We start from the raw sequence: 16,480 nt of genomic DNA, 5'->3' as shown, positions 1-16,480 counted from the left end.
AAAACAGGAGTCTTTGCATACCTGAACTTCTTGATCCAAGGTTGCATAAAGTGGATTGCTTCTACTCTCCACTCAATGCAGGACAAAAACTATTGGTGTAGGTCCTACCTACCTGTCCTGAATTTGGCTCAGGAACTGGAGTGGGACCCTTCACTAGACGAACCTGTCTGAGGAAGGGAAAAGTAGCAAAAGGGACAGAGACTCCTAGATCAAGTTTGCACCATGAAATCCCTGATGCTCCAGAAAATGTTTCTGCAACCCAAATGGTTGCCTAAGCATCTTCATGGTAAAACACTAAATATGTGGGATTTCTGAAGAAAAATAAAGGGAAGGGCTGTGGTTTCCAGAGTTTTGTCTGATGTTCAACCCCACCGTCCTCTGGGTGGAAGCAGCAGAATGCAGATGGGAGCAAACACCAGCAGCGAGGATCATTTCTCTTTCCACCTCCTCAGTTTGCCTTGGGCGGTTTATTCTCATTGCATCTTCCTGCTTGTCCTAGACCAGCCTTACCGTGGCTCACGCCCACACAGGAAGAAAATAAAGAGCCCAGGTATTAAGGCCAAGGACTGCGTCAGCAACTGGAGTCCTTATTGCTACTGCCACGCATCTGTGTCTCTGCTTCCCCTTCCTGGTTCTATTTATCTCTGAACTTTAGTACATTGACTGGTTTCTGGGATTTGAAATTACCTTCTTCTTTGTATTTTTTGTATCTTAGTTCTTTTCCACTTGACTGGCTGTGGCCCTGGGCTTTCCCCTTGCCGTCTTTTGTCAGGAATCACCTGACTGTGTCTGATTCATCTGATTTAACAACCTTCTCCCACCAGGTATCAGCACCTGAATTTCCACTCTGACCCTGGGCTCCCCAACATACACACACACACTCCAGAATGATAAATGACCCATTTTGTGACAGAGTTTTTCTTTTATTTCTTTTCTTTTCTTGCTTTTATTTATTTATTTATTTCGAGACGGAGTCTCGCTCTGTCGCCAGGCTGGAGTGCAGTGGCGCAATCTTGGCTCACTGCAATCTCTGCCTCCTGGGTTCAAGCAATTCTCTGCCTCAGCCTCCCAAGTAGCTGGGATTACAGGCGCCCGCCACCTCGCCGAGCTAATTTTTTTGTATTTTTAGTAGAGACAGGGTTTCACCATCTTGGCCAGGCTGGTCTTGAACTCCTGACCTCGTGATCCGCCCGCCTCGGCCTCCCAAAGTGCTAGGATTACAGGCGTGAGCCACTGTACCAGGCCGTGACGAGTTTTTAAAGAGACAAAAATCATCTAATTCTGTTCATGAGTTTTCAAGCTAGATCTATGATCCCCATCACAGCATGAGTCGCAGAGACAGCTGAGCTATACCCAGGGCTCTTCAGCACATAGGTTCTTTGGTGAGAGAAGTCCTAAGCAGTGCTCCTTGACCCTGCTGGTGTCCAGCGGATTTATCCCCAGCTCCCTCGACTCTGTTACCCAAACATCAGGAGCCCAGAAACCTCACCTTACCATCCACAGTAAAGGAGACGAGAAATGACACTGGGAAGTGGGTGAAATCAGAGAGGGGAAAGTAAATCCAAGCTGTCTCAAGTCTCCATTTGCACTAGACCCCCATCCCTTCCCCTGCATCTAAGCCCAACCACTGCTGCAGGCAGATTCTCACTGATGAGGCAAAAAGTTGTTTCTGGAGCCACCAAATTCACATTACTTAAGCAAGATTGAACTGTTTAAAATTTCAGTGTTGTCCGCCAAAAAAATAATAATAGGTAGTTGTATAGAGTGGAATATGCTGACAGCAATAATGTTTCTGTAATAATTCATGTATAGTAGATGATGTTCTGGAAGTCAGCCCAGCAGGCTAATGCAGATTGGGAATGCTGTCCTACTGATGGCCAAATGATTGATTGGCACTTCTGCTCCATCATGAAATCGGCTGGCAAATGAACTGGAGGTGGTTCCAAAGGAGGGAGATGAAAGAGGAAAGTGGGAATGAAGGGTAGTGTGCGGTACTGCACAGGGAAGTTGAAGTAGAAAGATCAAAGGAAGCATGTTCAAGCTCAGTTTCTAATCTAAGCCAGCTCCCATATTGATATTATGCTATAATTTTAAAAAGCTGACCATGCAATAAAGGGGGCGATATTTACCTATTCCCTGTATCTTCCACTTTGGAAACAGATCTGCCTCCCTAAGAAATCATCTGCTTCTTTCCAATTGTTCTGCCAATAATATCCTACAACCAATTAGCTCTCCCCCTGGTGCACATAGAACTGAGTGTTTATCTGCCCCATCCTCACTGGTAGATGGGCCATTGGCTCTCGATGTCAATGATTAAGCCTATCTATTTCCTCAGGTTGAATTCACCCTGCCATCCAGGTTGCTTTAGGGCCTTCTTTGCTCGTAAGTCAGAAAAGGAAAATTTACTTCAGAATTAAAATCTACACAGCATAATTAGATAAGAAATATGCTGCCCCATAACTATGTAATGCATAACAAAGCAAAATGGAAATAAGTTGATAAATGCTACATGGTAACTTTCCTGAATTTAATGTGGATCATTGAAAGACCAGATTTCCAAGTAGATATCTTCAATATTTTGTGATTTAAGGGAAGGAATCAAAAAGAGAGAGAGTTACAAAGGGCCTACCAGGTGCCAAACACAGGACTGTGTACTTATTACATATATTTTCTCACTCGACTTCCATGACTTGTTAAACTCAGTAGTGTTACTGTAGATAGGTTACTAGTTAAACGCATTGCTCAGTGCGGTCTCCATTGGCCACATGTGACTATTCAGCACCTGAAATGTGACTAGGCCAAATCGAAATGTGTTGGAAGTGACCAAATATACCATGGATCTTGAAGAGCGGGCATGAAAAAAGAATGTAAAATGTAAAACATCTTACGGATAACTTTTATAAGGATGGCACACAAAAAGATATTTTGGAAGTAAGGGTCAAGTAAACTAAATATATGATTAAAATTAATTTCACCTTTTGTTGTGGTGGTGGTGGTGGTGGTGTTTGTGTTAGTGTGGCCTGCTTTCAAGTCCCCACTTACTCTAAGCCCTTTAATTTCATGGTCTCTTCGTCCTTCGAGAGAAAGTGGGAGAAGCAGAGAAACAGCTTAACTACTTATGAGCTATTTCTCTTTCAGTAAGTTATTTAACTGCTCTAGTCTTTAGTTTTCTCATCTGTAAAAGGGGCTTGGCCGGGCGCGGTGGCTCACGCCTGTAATCCCAGCGCTTTGGGAGGCCGAGGCGGGCGGATCACGAGGTCAGGAGATCGAGACCATCCCGGCTAAAACGGTGAAACCCCGTCTCTACTAAAAATACAAAAAATTAGCCGGGCGTAGTGGCGGGCGCCTGTAGTCCCAGCTACTTGGGAGGCTGAGGCAGGAGAATGGCGTGAACCCGGGAGGTGGAGCTTGCAGTGAGCCGAGATCCCGCCACTGCACTCCAGCCTGGGCGACAGAGCGAGACTCCGTCTCAAAAAAAAAAAAAAAAAAAAAAGGGGGCTTAAAAATAAATAACTTGTAAGATTTCTGTGATAATTAAATAAAGTGATGTATATGAAGCAATTATTACCATGCCTGGGATATAGTACGCATTCAATAAACTTGCGTAGTTATTTCTGCCTGTCAAAAGAAGTGGTTTAATCAGATGTTGGTTAGTAGCTCTTCAAACCTGCTATTAAATAATTTTATGCCTATTATCACAGAGGTGGTCATTGAAAAACAAATTATGGATACAGAGGAAGCTTTGCAATAATTATTAATACTGGCTGTTCTGGTGATACGTTTATTGGCACATATCCAAAATATTCTCTGGGGTTGTTTAAGACCTTTTGGAATAGAAGTATGAGGATATCCCAACTCAGATCCAGTTCCAGCTGCTCCCTACTCCATGCCTGGACCATACCACCTGCCACCGGCACCATCCGCATCCAATCCTGAGGCTAAGAATCTTCCCCAGAAGCTTCACTGACCACATCTCCTGGGTGCCCAGGGCCCAGAGATAAGTGTGCTGGGGAATCAGTGGTGAAGACCTCGACACTCATGGTACCTTAGCTGGTGGAAACTTCTGGGGCAACACTCAAACGCTTGGCTAAAGAAAATCTAGCCATGTAAATAAAGCTAAACAGAGGGGATCTTCTTTTCCTGTTAAAAAATGTTATTAGCTTTCCTTTCATTACCGTCTTACAATTCTTTGGAATAAATACTAAATCTTTAACATTGTCTGCATGACCTGATGTGATCTGCCTGGGTCCGCATCACCAGCTGTATTCTCATCTCCCTCTCTCCCTCACTCTGCTCCAGGCAAGTCAGTCTTAATTCAGTCCCTCCAATGATCCCAAGGTCTTTCCTGCCCCAGAGCTCTCGCATGTGCTGTTTCCACTTGCTCCAAACTTTGCCTGGCTTTCTCCTACTTATCCTTCAGGTCTCTGCTTACCTGTCATTTCTGCAGAAAGAGTTTCCTCATCTTTTACTTTCATATCACCCTGATTTTTCCCTCATGCCCTTTATGGCCCTGATCAAAATTTTACTGCTTCTTTTTCTCTCAAAATCACAACTCTCTTATTCTTTGCTTCATCTCCAGCACCTTGCACATAATATATATGCAACCATATTTGTTGAATCAATGCATGCATAGATGAGTAGACAGACATTGGCTGTCCACAATAGAATTCACTATGTATCTCCATTTCCATCATCGTGTTTTCTGATTCCCTTTCTTTTTCACTCCAGACCCTCATGTCTGGAATTCCTTCTCTTTGATGATTCTTTAGCAGGCCCTGCACTCACCCAGCAGGTTGAAGTGATGGATTATTCTCAGACGTGACAATGCAGCTGAGGGAAGAGATGCACAGGACTCACCATGCCCATGGATACTGCAAATTATAACACTGGCTAATAGTTATATAATTTAAAATATGCCAGGCAGTGAATTATGAAAATGGTGTATATTATCTTTTTATCCTTGACATCAGTCCTATGAGATAAGAACTTTAGCTGTCCCCCATTTTGCAGATGAGCAAATTGATACCTGTATTAGGCACTGTGTCTGAAGCCATACAGCAGCTAAGCACTGACACCATTAAAACAAACTTGGCCTGATTCCAACACTCATGCACCTCATCTGGAGTATTCCACCTTTCTCAGCCTCAGGCACCAGCTTTCCCAGTTGACTTTTCTCTGATCCTAGCCCTACCCTATTCCTTCTTAGTCTACCTAAGCTCTGTTCCTAAGGTACAATACCTTAATGGTGATTTCCAAGACGACTCCAAATTTCAGACAGAAGTTATTTTATTCTCAACACTCTGATATTATGGATTGACCAGGTTTTCTGTTTAGTTCTCACATCTAGCATTTCTTTAACTAGATTTCTATAACCCTCTTTCTCTCTCTTTTTTTAACCAACATCAACTTTACCAAGGTCATTGTGCCTCTTGAACTTAATGGGGGAGAAAGGGAGGAACGAAATAGTATTACCGTATTTAGTCCCTTAAGTGTCAGCCACTGCTATAAGCATTTCACATATGTCATTTCATCCAATTGCCTAATAACCCATTAAGTGGTCATTAGAATCCCCTTAATATATAAGATAGGCTCATACCTGTAATCCCAGCACTTTGGGAGGCAGAGACAGGCAGATCATTTGAGCCCAGGAGTTTGAGACCAGCCTGGGCAACATGACAAAACTCTGTCTTACAAAAAATATAAAAATTAGCTGGGCATAGTGGCATGTCCCTGTAGTTCCAGCTACTTGGGAGGCTGAGGCAGGAGGATCGCTTGAGCCCGGAAGGTCAAGGCTGCAGTAAGCTGACACTGTGCCACTGCACTCCAGCCTTGTTGACAGAGTTACACATTGTCTCAAAAAAAAAAGAAAGAAAGAAAGAAAAGAAAAGAAAAGGAAGGGAAAGAAAAAGTACAACATAACGTAGAGCCTTAGAGAAGTTAAATAATGTGCCCAAGATCACACGGTTACTATGTGGTAGACTGAAAATTTCACACATATTTTTCTTTGATTCCAAAGTCATGTTTTCATCCTTTATACACATTGTATCCATAACCCCCAATCTTTCTGCTTTGTCTAGTAAGCCTCACATTCCATTTCTCAGTCTTCTGTTTATTTTCCTTTTCCTATTCTCATGTAGGTTCTCCCATCAGGCGTCTCCATCTGGACAGTGGGTTCTATTTCTATCTCCTACCCTTTACCAGAAAAAAAGACTTGTTTCCCCCTTTTCTTTCTTAAGCAGTGATTTGCCCCATGTAAATTTATGTTTATATGTATGTTTATTCTATTTACATTTACAGAGCAACTACATTTGCATATCTCTTTTCCACAGTCACATTTCACAGAATGTTAACCAAGGCAAAAGTCCTAAGCATGGGGCTAAAGGGGCATTTTATTTAGGAGCTGGTCTTGCTCAAATGCAAATACATTGTCACATATCATCACATTAACAAAAAGTAGGACCCTAAGGAGATGGGACACGAGACAGACCAGGTTTGATAGGATAAGTAGGAACGATGTACAAGGCATGGTTTGTGATAGGCAGCGCATGGATGGGCGGGAAGCACAGCTGTGGGAGGTAGACTGCAAACAACAAAAGAGCTTTGGGAGCCCCAGGACGCTGAAAGAGAAGGGAGCCAAATGAGGTAATGAGCATACTGCTTGAAAAAATGAATAGTGAACTGCAACTTCTTGTTCAAATACCATTACCATTACTTATCTTTTTTTAAAAAAATGTACAAGGGAATTGGAGGAAGATACAACTGGAATGGGATCCTCATGGGAGATATCATTGATCACAGAGGACCTGGGTCACTCACTGAATCTAATCAAGTTGCCAATCAAGAGGACATCTAAGGAGTGTCATGGATCTACCACAAGCAGACATAATTTCTTGGTTTTCTCACGCCACTTAGGCCTGCATCTACACTGATTAGGTGAACATACAAGAGGGGTCTGTTCATATTAGTGAGGATGCCAGGGAAGATCTCCTTCTTGGAGTCTGCATCCTCTAAGCGAATGCTAGCTTTCAAGATGTTTCTCCTGGGAGTCACCCAGATCCTTTCTGTCCTGGATAAAGCCTGTGGGCTTCAAGTTATAAACAAGACAACCAAATTTACTTGTAACCATCATGATTTGAGTTTAGGAGCAAGTGCTGTGTTTGACAAATGTGAGAGAGGTCTTTAGAGACACAATTTGGAGGCATTGATGGGTTATAGGTGCATTTGTGGTCCAGGCATGAATGCCTGGCAGCTCTTGATAAGAGTCATGGCTATATCCAGTTTACAGCCCCACAAAAGGACCCCTTTGGCCCTCTTCTTGGAGCTGCCTGATGTAAAAAGACACACTCTGGTCTGAGCCATTCCTGTGAATACTGTTGCGGTCCCCATTGAGTGGATGCTATTTGTGCGTGACTAGATTCCTTTGAGTGTAGATGCAGCCATCCCTACTGCAGAGCATTTGCCTGACATCATCAACCCACAGCTCCCTTCTTTGCAGAATTGCCTGTGTTGAAGCAGGAGCCTCCTTGACTCTGAGGCCACCCTCTCCCACCCTCTCCAGAGGTACAAAAGGCCAGCGCCTTGTCTCCGGGTGTGTCAGGGGAAACACCCACTACCTCTCCAGCCCCACTGACCCCTCCCTGCTCCACCCAACTCCACCCCTGTGAGCAGAGTGGTGTGACCTGTACTATGCCCTAAGCAGGGACACTCACAGAGGACCCCAGAGGAGGCTTGCTTTCCTCCTTTGGAAAGGAGGAAAGCAAGATAGCTTTTATTCCATCAGGACTGTGTTCTCTGTTGGATGAAATGAGCCTACTCATGAGTTCACCTTCAGAGTTCAGAAATGAATCTTTAACCTGACAAAACCACTGCTATTCTTCATGCTCCTGGAGAATCTGCAGAAAAGAGCAGAGTGCCCATGTCTGTGTGGTAGAGAGGTCAAGCCCAGCCTGAATCTCTTGTGCCCATCACTAAACTGTCCTGACATCTCCTTTAAGGATTCCCTCCTCAGTACAGCTGGGACAAGGGCAGTGAATTGTTCCTTTCCATTAACAGGTATCCTCCTGGACATTCTTCTATGAGACAGGTGATAAAAACAGACTAAGGCAGAAAATCTGGAAAGGACATCCTGGCCACCATCAGATGTACAGTCACTGAGGGGCCAGGTGCTCAGGTAGTAACACCCCTTGCTTCTCCTCTCAAGTCCAGGAGAAAGAAGACTCAGAACACAGAGAGATAGAGATCGAAATATTAGCTTCATCTGTGATATGCTCCACAGCATATTAGGCCTTCCCCCCAAATGGTTTGATAACACTTCGTCCGTGAACTATACATCTTATGGACCTAGTAAGAGACTATGCAGGTCAACCTCTGGCTTCTCATGAAGCTTCCCACTCAGTGGAAAGCAGGAAAAAATGTGTTATCTCTAGAAGCAGGCAGGTTCAAAAGTGAGAGAGAAAAGGCTGAGCTCAGCATTCACCCAAATTCACTAATGAGAGAAATTACTGCTTCTCCCCTGGGGAGGAAAGATGGAGAGATGGAGACAGTGCTACTCTCTTAGTGCTTTTGAATTTTTTCTATTATTACTAAATTTCCCCAGGGTGGGCATTCGAAAATGCAGTGGAGCAGAGTGCAGCCAGCATTTAGTGGGCAAGACCAAGGAAGGCTAACCATCCTGCAATATGAAGGACTGTGCCATATGACAAAGAATGGTTCCACCCCAAATGTCAATAACAACCCTTGAGAAACAGAAGTGCCTCTACATGGAAACACAAGACAAGGAGCATGGAGGCTCCTCTCACCTTCACACATAAACACACACACTATTGATTACCTATAGATTGCAAAGCACAAGACACTCAGCAGAGTTAATCACAGAGAAGCAACACCGGTTTCACAACCTTCAAAAACCCAGGGGACACAGACCCCTGTAGAGCAAGCCATTGTTCCATGCACTTCATCGAGCTCCTAACTCTGGAATTAGATCAGAGGACAGGTGGCCTGTAGACTTTCCTGAGAGGAACACAAAATAGAAGAGCCAGCTTGGTGAGCTGAGGGTCATATGGGCTGAAAGCTGCAGTTAGCAACCTGGGAGTTCCCGCCTCCTTTTCTTCCTTCCCTTTTCTCTTTTCCTTTTCTTGAGGACTACGGCTCTTTTCTGTAAGGGTAATTACTTTTTTTACCTGTCATTGTGCCCAGGACTCTCCCTGTCAGCTCCCTCTGCTTAAAGACCAAAGGTGTCAAAGGAGAATTTCTACTAATGGTAGACTCATGTCTTCACCCCCTTGTTTTTGTTTTCTATCTTCACAAAAGGCCAGTATTCCCTTGGTGTTGTCCTTTAGGGGATGAGGGACCTTAGGCACGTATCCCCAGAATCTTTACCCGCTTATCTGATTCTACACATATTACTATGTCTGGCCATATTAACCAGGTTATAAAAATATCAGGTAGGAGTCTGAAGCTTAGAATTAACGAATGTGATCTATCCCTGCTTATCTGCTGGGGATAGATTCTAAGACCCCGCCCCCCGCAGTGGATGCCCAAAACCACAGATAGTACCAAACACTATATATATATATATATATATATGTAATGCACAAATTTATTTTTCCTTCTTCACAATTTCATGGATAGATTTGTTCTTACAATAGACCTTAGCAACCTCAGTACATGATGTTTTTTTCTTTCCTCATCAAGTCGAGAACTTTACTCAAATAAACATGCTTATTATTGCAACTTGGAGAGGGATGCAACGACATGCAGAGAGAGCTCCCACACATCATTTTCGCCTTCATTTCCTAATCTTATCTACTTTTATTTCATGCCACATGAAAAATGAACAGGGAACTACTTGCTATTTTTGATGTCTTTTCTGTTTAAGTATTCTTCCCCCACCTGCTGCTTTAATGAGAAGTGACACTGTGTTCTTAGAAGAAGTCAGAGCCAAGTTCCACCCATTCACACCAGGCCAGGCCAACCAGGAAGACAAAACCAACACCTGCGGCCCGGGAGAAATGGAGGTGCCAGCTCCTTGTGGAAATGGGGAATGGATCTCATGAAGTCAGCCAACAGACCTAGCACTGCCTTTCCAAATTTCTTAGCGACCGAATGAGACGCTGGCAAATGAAAATGTGTAGATAAAAAGAATTATGGAGACCAATTGGTTTTAGATATTTATTTGCATAACTAGTGTAGAGAGCCTTTCTCAAATGGTCCTCTAAGCCTGGCCCTTGTGTTTTATAATGAACACATTTCACAATATCAGGCCCTCAAACATCCTAAGATCATTTGCTACTCAAGACAAGATTGTGTAAATATTCCATTGCAATCTCTAATAATAGTCACAGTGACAGCTAACAATACTGTCCATTTAAGATGTGCCTGGCCGTGTTCTGAGCTCTTTAGAGACACTGATTCATTTAATCCTCCCAGGAGTGTGTCCATTGTGCAGATGAGGAGATGGAGGCACACAGCAGATTAGTAATGTGGTAGTAAGTGGCAGAGCAAGGATTCAAACTTGGACAGACCAACTTTGGAGCCCTGATACTTAATCACAATGTCACGCTCCCCCTTGCACATACGTTGATCAAGATTCTATTAAAAACAAACAAGCTTAGGCTCGTTTATAACATTAGAGCACTTCTAGAGAAACTAGTCCAGCTGTATGTACTACGCATAAATTTATTTTTCCTTCTTCACAATTTCATGGATAGATTTGTTCTTACCATAGACCTTAGCAACCTCAGCACATGATTTATTTTTTCTTTCCTCATCAAGTCGAGAACTTTCACCTTTTCACTTAAAAGAAGCACGTTAAGGCTTTTCATTGGCATATCCAAATTGCCAGCATCACTACTCTTGCACTTTGAGACCATTATTAAATAAAATAAGAGCCACCTGAACACAAGCACTGTGATACCATGACAATCAATCTGATAACCCAGAGGGCACTAAGTGACTAACGGGCGAGGAGTGTGTACAGGTGGATATGCTGGACAAAGGAATGATCCCCAACCTTGGAGCAGGACAAGGAGAGAATTCATCACACTACTCAGTATGGTGCCAATTTGAAACTTATGAATTGTTTATTTCTGGAATTTTGCATGTAATACTTTTGGACTGTAGTTGATCTTGAGTAACAGAAACTGTGGAAAACAAACCTTAAATCAAATAAGGGGAGACTATTTTATAAGTGGGCAGGTAACATCTATGTAAAAATTCAGCAAAGTGAAGTGGGGCCTGTGGATTGTAGAGTGTGACAGCAGCCTAAAGTTATTTTTTTAAATACTTTTAAAAATACTTTTTAAAACACTTTGCTAATAATTAAAAAAAAAAAAGTCCTTAGGCCAAATTTCAAGAGCAGGACTGCCAATATGGGATTCCTGGTTCTAGTCCAAAATTTTACAGACAGTGAAACTATAGCCCAGAGAGGGAAAGGGGTTTGCACAAGGTCACACATACGCAGTGACAGAAGCAGGGCTGGACCTCAGGGCTCATGGGCCAGCACCTTTCTGCCTATAACACACTAAAACCCATCTGTACCTCTACTTTCCCAGCCCCTTTCCCTCCCCCAGCCCCATCTCTCTTAAGCACAAGCGGTAAGACTTTTATTCTATTTGCAAAGTAAATAGAGCTGAGATACAGATTACTCTCAAGCATCGAAGCTTTTATCCAATATAAACAGAATCAGGATAACTTGTTCCCTCTCACTCCTCTGTCACACATACACACAGGCTCGGTGCCAGCATGCGCATAATTAGCAGATGGCAAATAGAACTCAGGCATCCTGGCCAAACTGAGGAGTACTGTGTAACTCCAACACATGCAAAGAGTGGTATTGGAGATTTCCTCCTTCCTTTTCTCTCTCTGCTGACCCTCCAGCAGAAATAAAGGCTGGATTGTTATGTATGAGGTACCTCATAGGGCAGAGAACAGTGGGCCAGGAGACAAGGTATCTGGGTTCTTTCCTAACCTCTCTGGATCTTAGTTGACTAATTTGCAGTGATGTGAGGAATAAATGGGTTAATAAAAAATAAAGATCTCAAATATGTTACATTTATGTCCCTATTCTTGGCCTTCTGACAGTTTCTCACTAATCAAAGAGAACACACACACAGGTGTGTGTGTGCACACAACCGATTGTACATTCATATCTATGAAAAATAATACACATGGTTGGGAAGTTACTTTTTACAACAATAGAGCTGCCATTATTCTTAGAGTTAACTCATCCTTGAGGATGATATTAGGGGCTCTAACAAATTTATTGTAATTGCAAGGATAGGAAATCTTCACTTTATGTGTGTAGATTGAGTTGATCTTTAATAACAGCCAAAAGTTTTTCAGAACCATGGGAAATAGAGATGGGAAACAAGCCTGGGACATTGGTTTTGAGTATGGGGAGGCAGGGGGCAGCATACTAAAAAGGGCTCAAGATTCTAAGTCAGAAGATCTTGATTGATTCTCTGCTCAGCCAATTACTGGTCCTGAGATTTTAGGTAAGTCTATAACCTCTCTCAGTCTCTATTTCCTCATCTACAAAATGGGGATGATAACAATTTCTTTACAGGATTTTTATGATAAAAAGATAATGTCTGTAAAACAGTTCTCTGGGCCATAAATTTTAAACGGCAACTTTAAAAATTTTTCTTGCAAAAGATGTGGAAAGACTAGTAATTTAAATCTGAAGGCAGTTTCTATACAGGAACTTAAAAGTCATTGATCAATAGGGACAAGAATAATAACATGTCTCCTTATTGTAGAGTTTAGAAGGAGATAACTTTAAATGACCATACTCATATCTATACATTTCATTCATTCATTCATTCCCTCATTCAACAAATGTCCTCTGAGTACCTAGAGGTATTTGGTAGCCAAAGGCTACCAGACTCAGGGAATACTGAGTCAAATGCAATATAGCCCCTTTCCTTTAAAAGCTTACAATGGATCATGACTACACATTTAACATTTATTTTTCCCTTATTTCTTTACTTGATAGTTAGATCTGCTATAACCAAATGACAACTGCAGAGCAACTGTAGAGCTCGCTGAGGCTAGGTGCCTCCCATGTGTCCACAAAACGCTTTGAAAAGTCATTAGGTACTCTAATAATGAATGCCAAAAGAGAATGAACAAGTGAGAGGGTGAATGAGGACCACAGAGAGGGCAGAATGAAGAGTACAAAGAGAAAGTTTAAGAAAGGAAGTGAAGGTGGCACCAGGTTAGAAGTGTAGCCCACAGCTCGTGAGGATTTCCCGCCTCACTGACTCACTGACCCACTCACTGACTCTTCTCCGTTCCCTGGTGCTGTAATCCATATGGAAGTGGGCAATAGCAGTTTTCAAGAGAGTTGTTGTCCCATATAGAGGAGCCACCATTCAAAAATTTTCCTTTAGACCCAATCTGACTTTATTTTAGATGTTCCTGCATCAGCAACAGTGACTTGCTGTAGCCTAGAGGTCATGCAGAAGGCCTGCATGGCCACAGTCCTGTCAGTATCTTTCTTTGAGCCAGTTTTCTCATCTATAAAATAAAGGACTTGAGCCAAATGACCACCCAGGTCCGTTTGAGCTAAGAGATTCTGTGATCCTCTGCCATATAGGAGAGCCCTACGGTGACCTGAAGGAGTTAATTCATCTTGCAGAATGTTTCAAACCTTGCATTAGCATAGGTGAGACACAGAATATAGGAAGCCTCACTCCCCACCCCCTTCTCCAGAAGACAAAGCCGCCCATCATTTGCTTTAATCTGTTTTCTTAATTTTCTTCCTAAGGAAAGTCACAGCTCCAATCAGCCCTCTAATCAATGGCTGCACTACTCCTGCACAAATGAGCTAGATTTATTAAAGGAGTCCTCTCTTCAATGGAAATGGGCTCCCTGCTGGAGCTGCAAATACAGCTAAGATTGACTGCTCCCAGAATAGGTAAAAATGTGAAGAAAATGAAAGCAGGCAACTGATGGGGAATATGGCACCCAAGACCTCTGAATGACTACCCCACCTCCATGACCACGAATGGATGGTCACCAGTGGCAGCTGGGATATTTGCATCCCATATAGGCTGACCCTGGGCAGAGTAACCAGTAGCGTTTCACCAGCAAGCATCCTCTGTTACTTTTCTACACACCCTAGGAAAAGAAGCTCGCCTCAAAAGAGACTAAAGGAGAGACTCTTCCGAGTGGACAACCTCACAGAAGCCAAGAGTTTGTAGGCTGTCAGAGCTGGAAAGAACCCTTGAAGATGGTACACAGCTATGAAATGAAGGGGTGCCCTGTGAAAGGACCCTGATATTTTGATTGATTGATGGTCAGAAGCAGAGGAAATTAATATTTCAAAGCTGTAAGGAATTATTCATATTAGATAAAATTAGATATTTACATATTCATATTTGGGGCTGAGAGATCCTTGTTGATAGGGAGTAGATACCGTATTAAACTTTTAGTTCTACTGCATAGGGAAAAAGCCAATGGGGAGATGCTTGTCACAAAGAAATTTTAACCTGTTTTACAAAATAATGTCAAACTCTGCCTTTACTGTATTTCCGGAAACTACTACTATGTTTCCTTGGGGGTCATGGGGTGGTCAATTTGTTTCCCCCTTGAAACCTCAGCGTAGAATATGAATGAAGGGACTCACGTGATAGGGAGGTGCATGGCCCCATTAACATAAGGGCGAGGGGGGGAGACAGAGAGGAGAAGAAAGGGACAGAGCAAGCCACAAGAGTCTTGTTTTAGAAATAATAGAAGCTAAGTGATCTAGTATCCTGTTTTAAATATTCTATTCCCAGTTACAATTTTCTTCTGTTACCCTTAAACCTTAGTTTCATTCAATGTTTCAGCATGAGAGAGACCAGTCTGGAAAAAAAAAATAGTTACAAGAAGGTAAGGATGATCAGCCATCCAGAGCAAGGTGGAGGTAGAGATGATGAAGATCAACCAAGATGGATTTGTGGAAAATGTAAACATTCCTAGAGACATACCACGTGTGTGCATGCGCGTGTGCACACGCGCACACAACACACACACACACACAGAGCCTTGGAGAAGAGAACCTGGTAGACAGCTTGACTTTCTGCAGTTTGGTGGAAAAGGGGGCTGATATTGATTTTGAGTAATGGAGAATGCAGGGTCACCTCATTTCTATAAGGGACCCTGATGGAGGGTCCAGATGGGGGCATTAAGTCACTTGTCCAGGGTAACGTAGCTAGTTACTGACAGAGCTGAACAAATTCAGACAGAGGCCTTGTGATCCTTAATGTTGAGCTCTGTAACCCTAGACTCAGCCACACCTCTCTCCACCTTACAAAGCCCAGCCAAGTTTCAAGTCACTGATACCCCCTGGAGAGGAAGAGGAGGGAGAAAGATGGGAGAAAGGAGAAGGAAGAGGAAAAGGAAAGGACTAATTCAGTGCTGAGATATATATTTTCTAGAGTTATTCTGGTCACTCATCTTTTTCTTGATCCATTCTGGTTTTGAGACTTGAAGCCTGTTGGAGTTGGAAGGCACCTTAGAGATCAGTTAATTCCCTGGCTTTACAGATGAGAAAAACTTCCCAGAGGAAGTAACTTGCCTGAAATTTCTGGCAACTAACCATCAAAGTGTGTTTGAAAGCTGGTCTGGTACACAGCTATGAAATGAAGGCAGCGAAGACAAAATATAGAAGGTGAATAATGAAGAGGAATTACCCCACAAGAAGCGTGTAGCTCCAGAGGAGGCTGGGGTGTAAGTTTGGAATTAACTGCTGTGTCTTCCCATCCTCCATTCTCCACAAGTATTCCCTAACAAAGCCAGCATTCTTACTCTTTCCTTCCTCAAGCCTCTAAAATAAAATGAGAAAATGGGACTCTCCATCTTATTCTGTCTTGTACTGTCCTGATTTACCTTACGTAAGACTTATTCCCCAAAACTACCAGCTTCTTCAGGGTAGGAATGAATTCCAGGGATTGTACCATACCATATGCTTCTCTATAATAAAACACCCAGCCCAATTTGGCATAAGCAATTCATATTCAATAAATATTTGTTTGTAGGTTAATCTTTGAGAAAACTGCAAAACTTTTCATAGTGCAAATTCTTACAGGGAAAGAATTAAGGTGAGAAAGTGAGACTCAGTTATCTAATCTGAACAATGGGGAAAAATATATTCAATGATATCTTACAATCGTTCCTTCTTATCTGAGACCTGTCATTTGTGGCCAAAATTAAGCTACATATCGAGATACATTCTCATACCTTTCTCCCTTTTCCTGCCATCCCCTGCTCTTTCATCCCACACACAACCTTACAAAAGCCTTGCCATACAGCAGAGCTCAGGACACCCTGAAGCCTTGCAGGCCTCCAGCAGTGACACAGGCAGAAATTTGCCCAGAGCTTGTGAAGGGTGGCTGCTTTTTACTGCCTTTATATTTGGTTCTATTGAAACTTTGTGACTGAAAGAGCAGATCGGGGTTCTGAGTGCATTTGCAGTGGTGGGAGCTGTCAGAGAACT

General features: G+C 42.7%; 1 long non-coding RNA gene across 2 annotated transcripts in view, besides 1 other annotated feature; it reads right to left on the bottom strand.

Annotated features, from left to right (window-relative positions):
- LOC105372889 (uncharacterized) overlaps positions 1-16,480 on the bottom strand; it is an 82,866-nt gene that overhangs the window by 25,086 nt on the left and 41,300 nt on the right. The gene's annotated exons all lie outside the window — the stretch shown is intronic.
- Positions 2,732-2,932: a silencer, noted in NCBI's record as "peak670 fragment used in MPRA reporter construct". NCBI's record gives its function as "represses an SCP1 promoter by STARR-seq MPRAs in K562 erythroleukemia cells {active_cell/tissue: K562}" and the evidence as "EXISTENCE:reporter gene assay evidence [ECO:0000049][PMID:32103011]".

Source organism: Homo sapiens, chromosome 1 (assembly GCF_000001405.40).
Source record: "Homo sapiens chromosome 1, GRCh38.p14 Primary Assembly".
Classification (NCBI taxonomy): Eukaryota; Metazoa; Chordata; class Mammalia; order Primates; family Hominidae; genus Homo; species Homo sapiens.
Note: the sequence above shows the minus strand (reverse complement) of the source record. Positions and strands in the feature narration are given on the sequence as shown.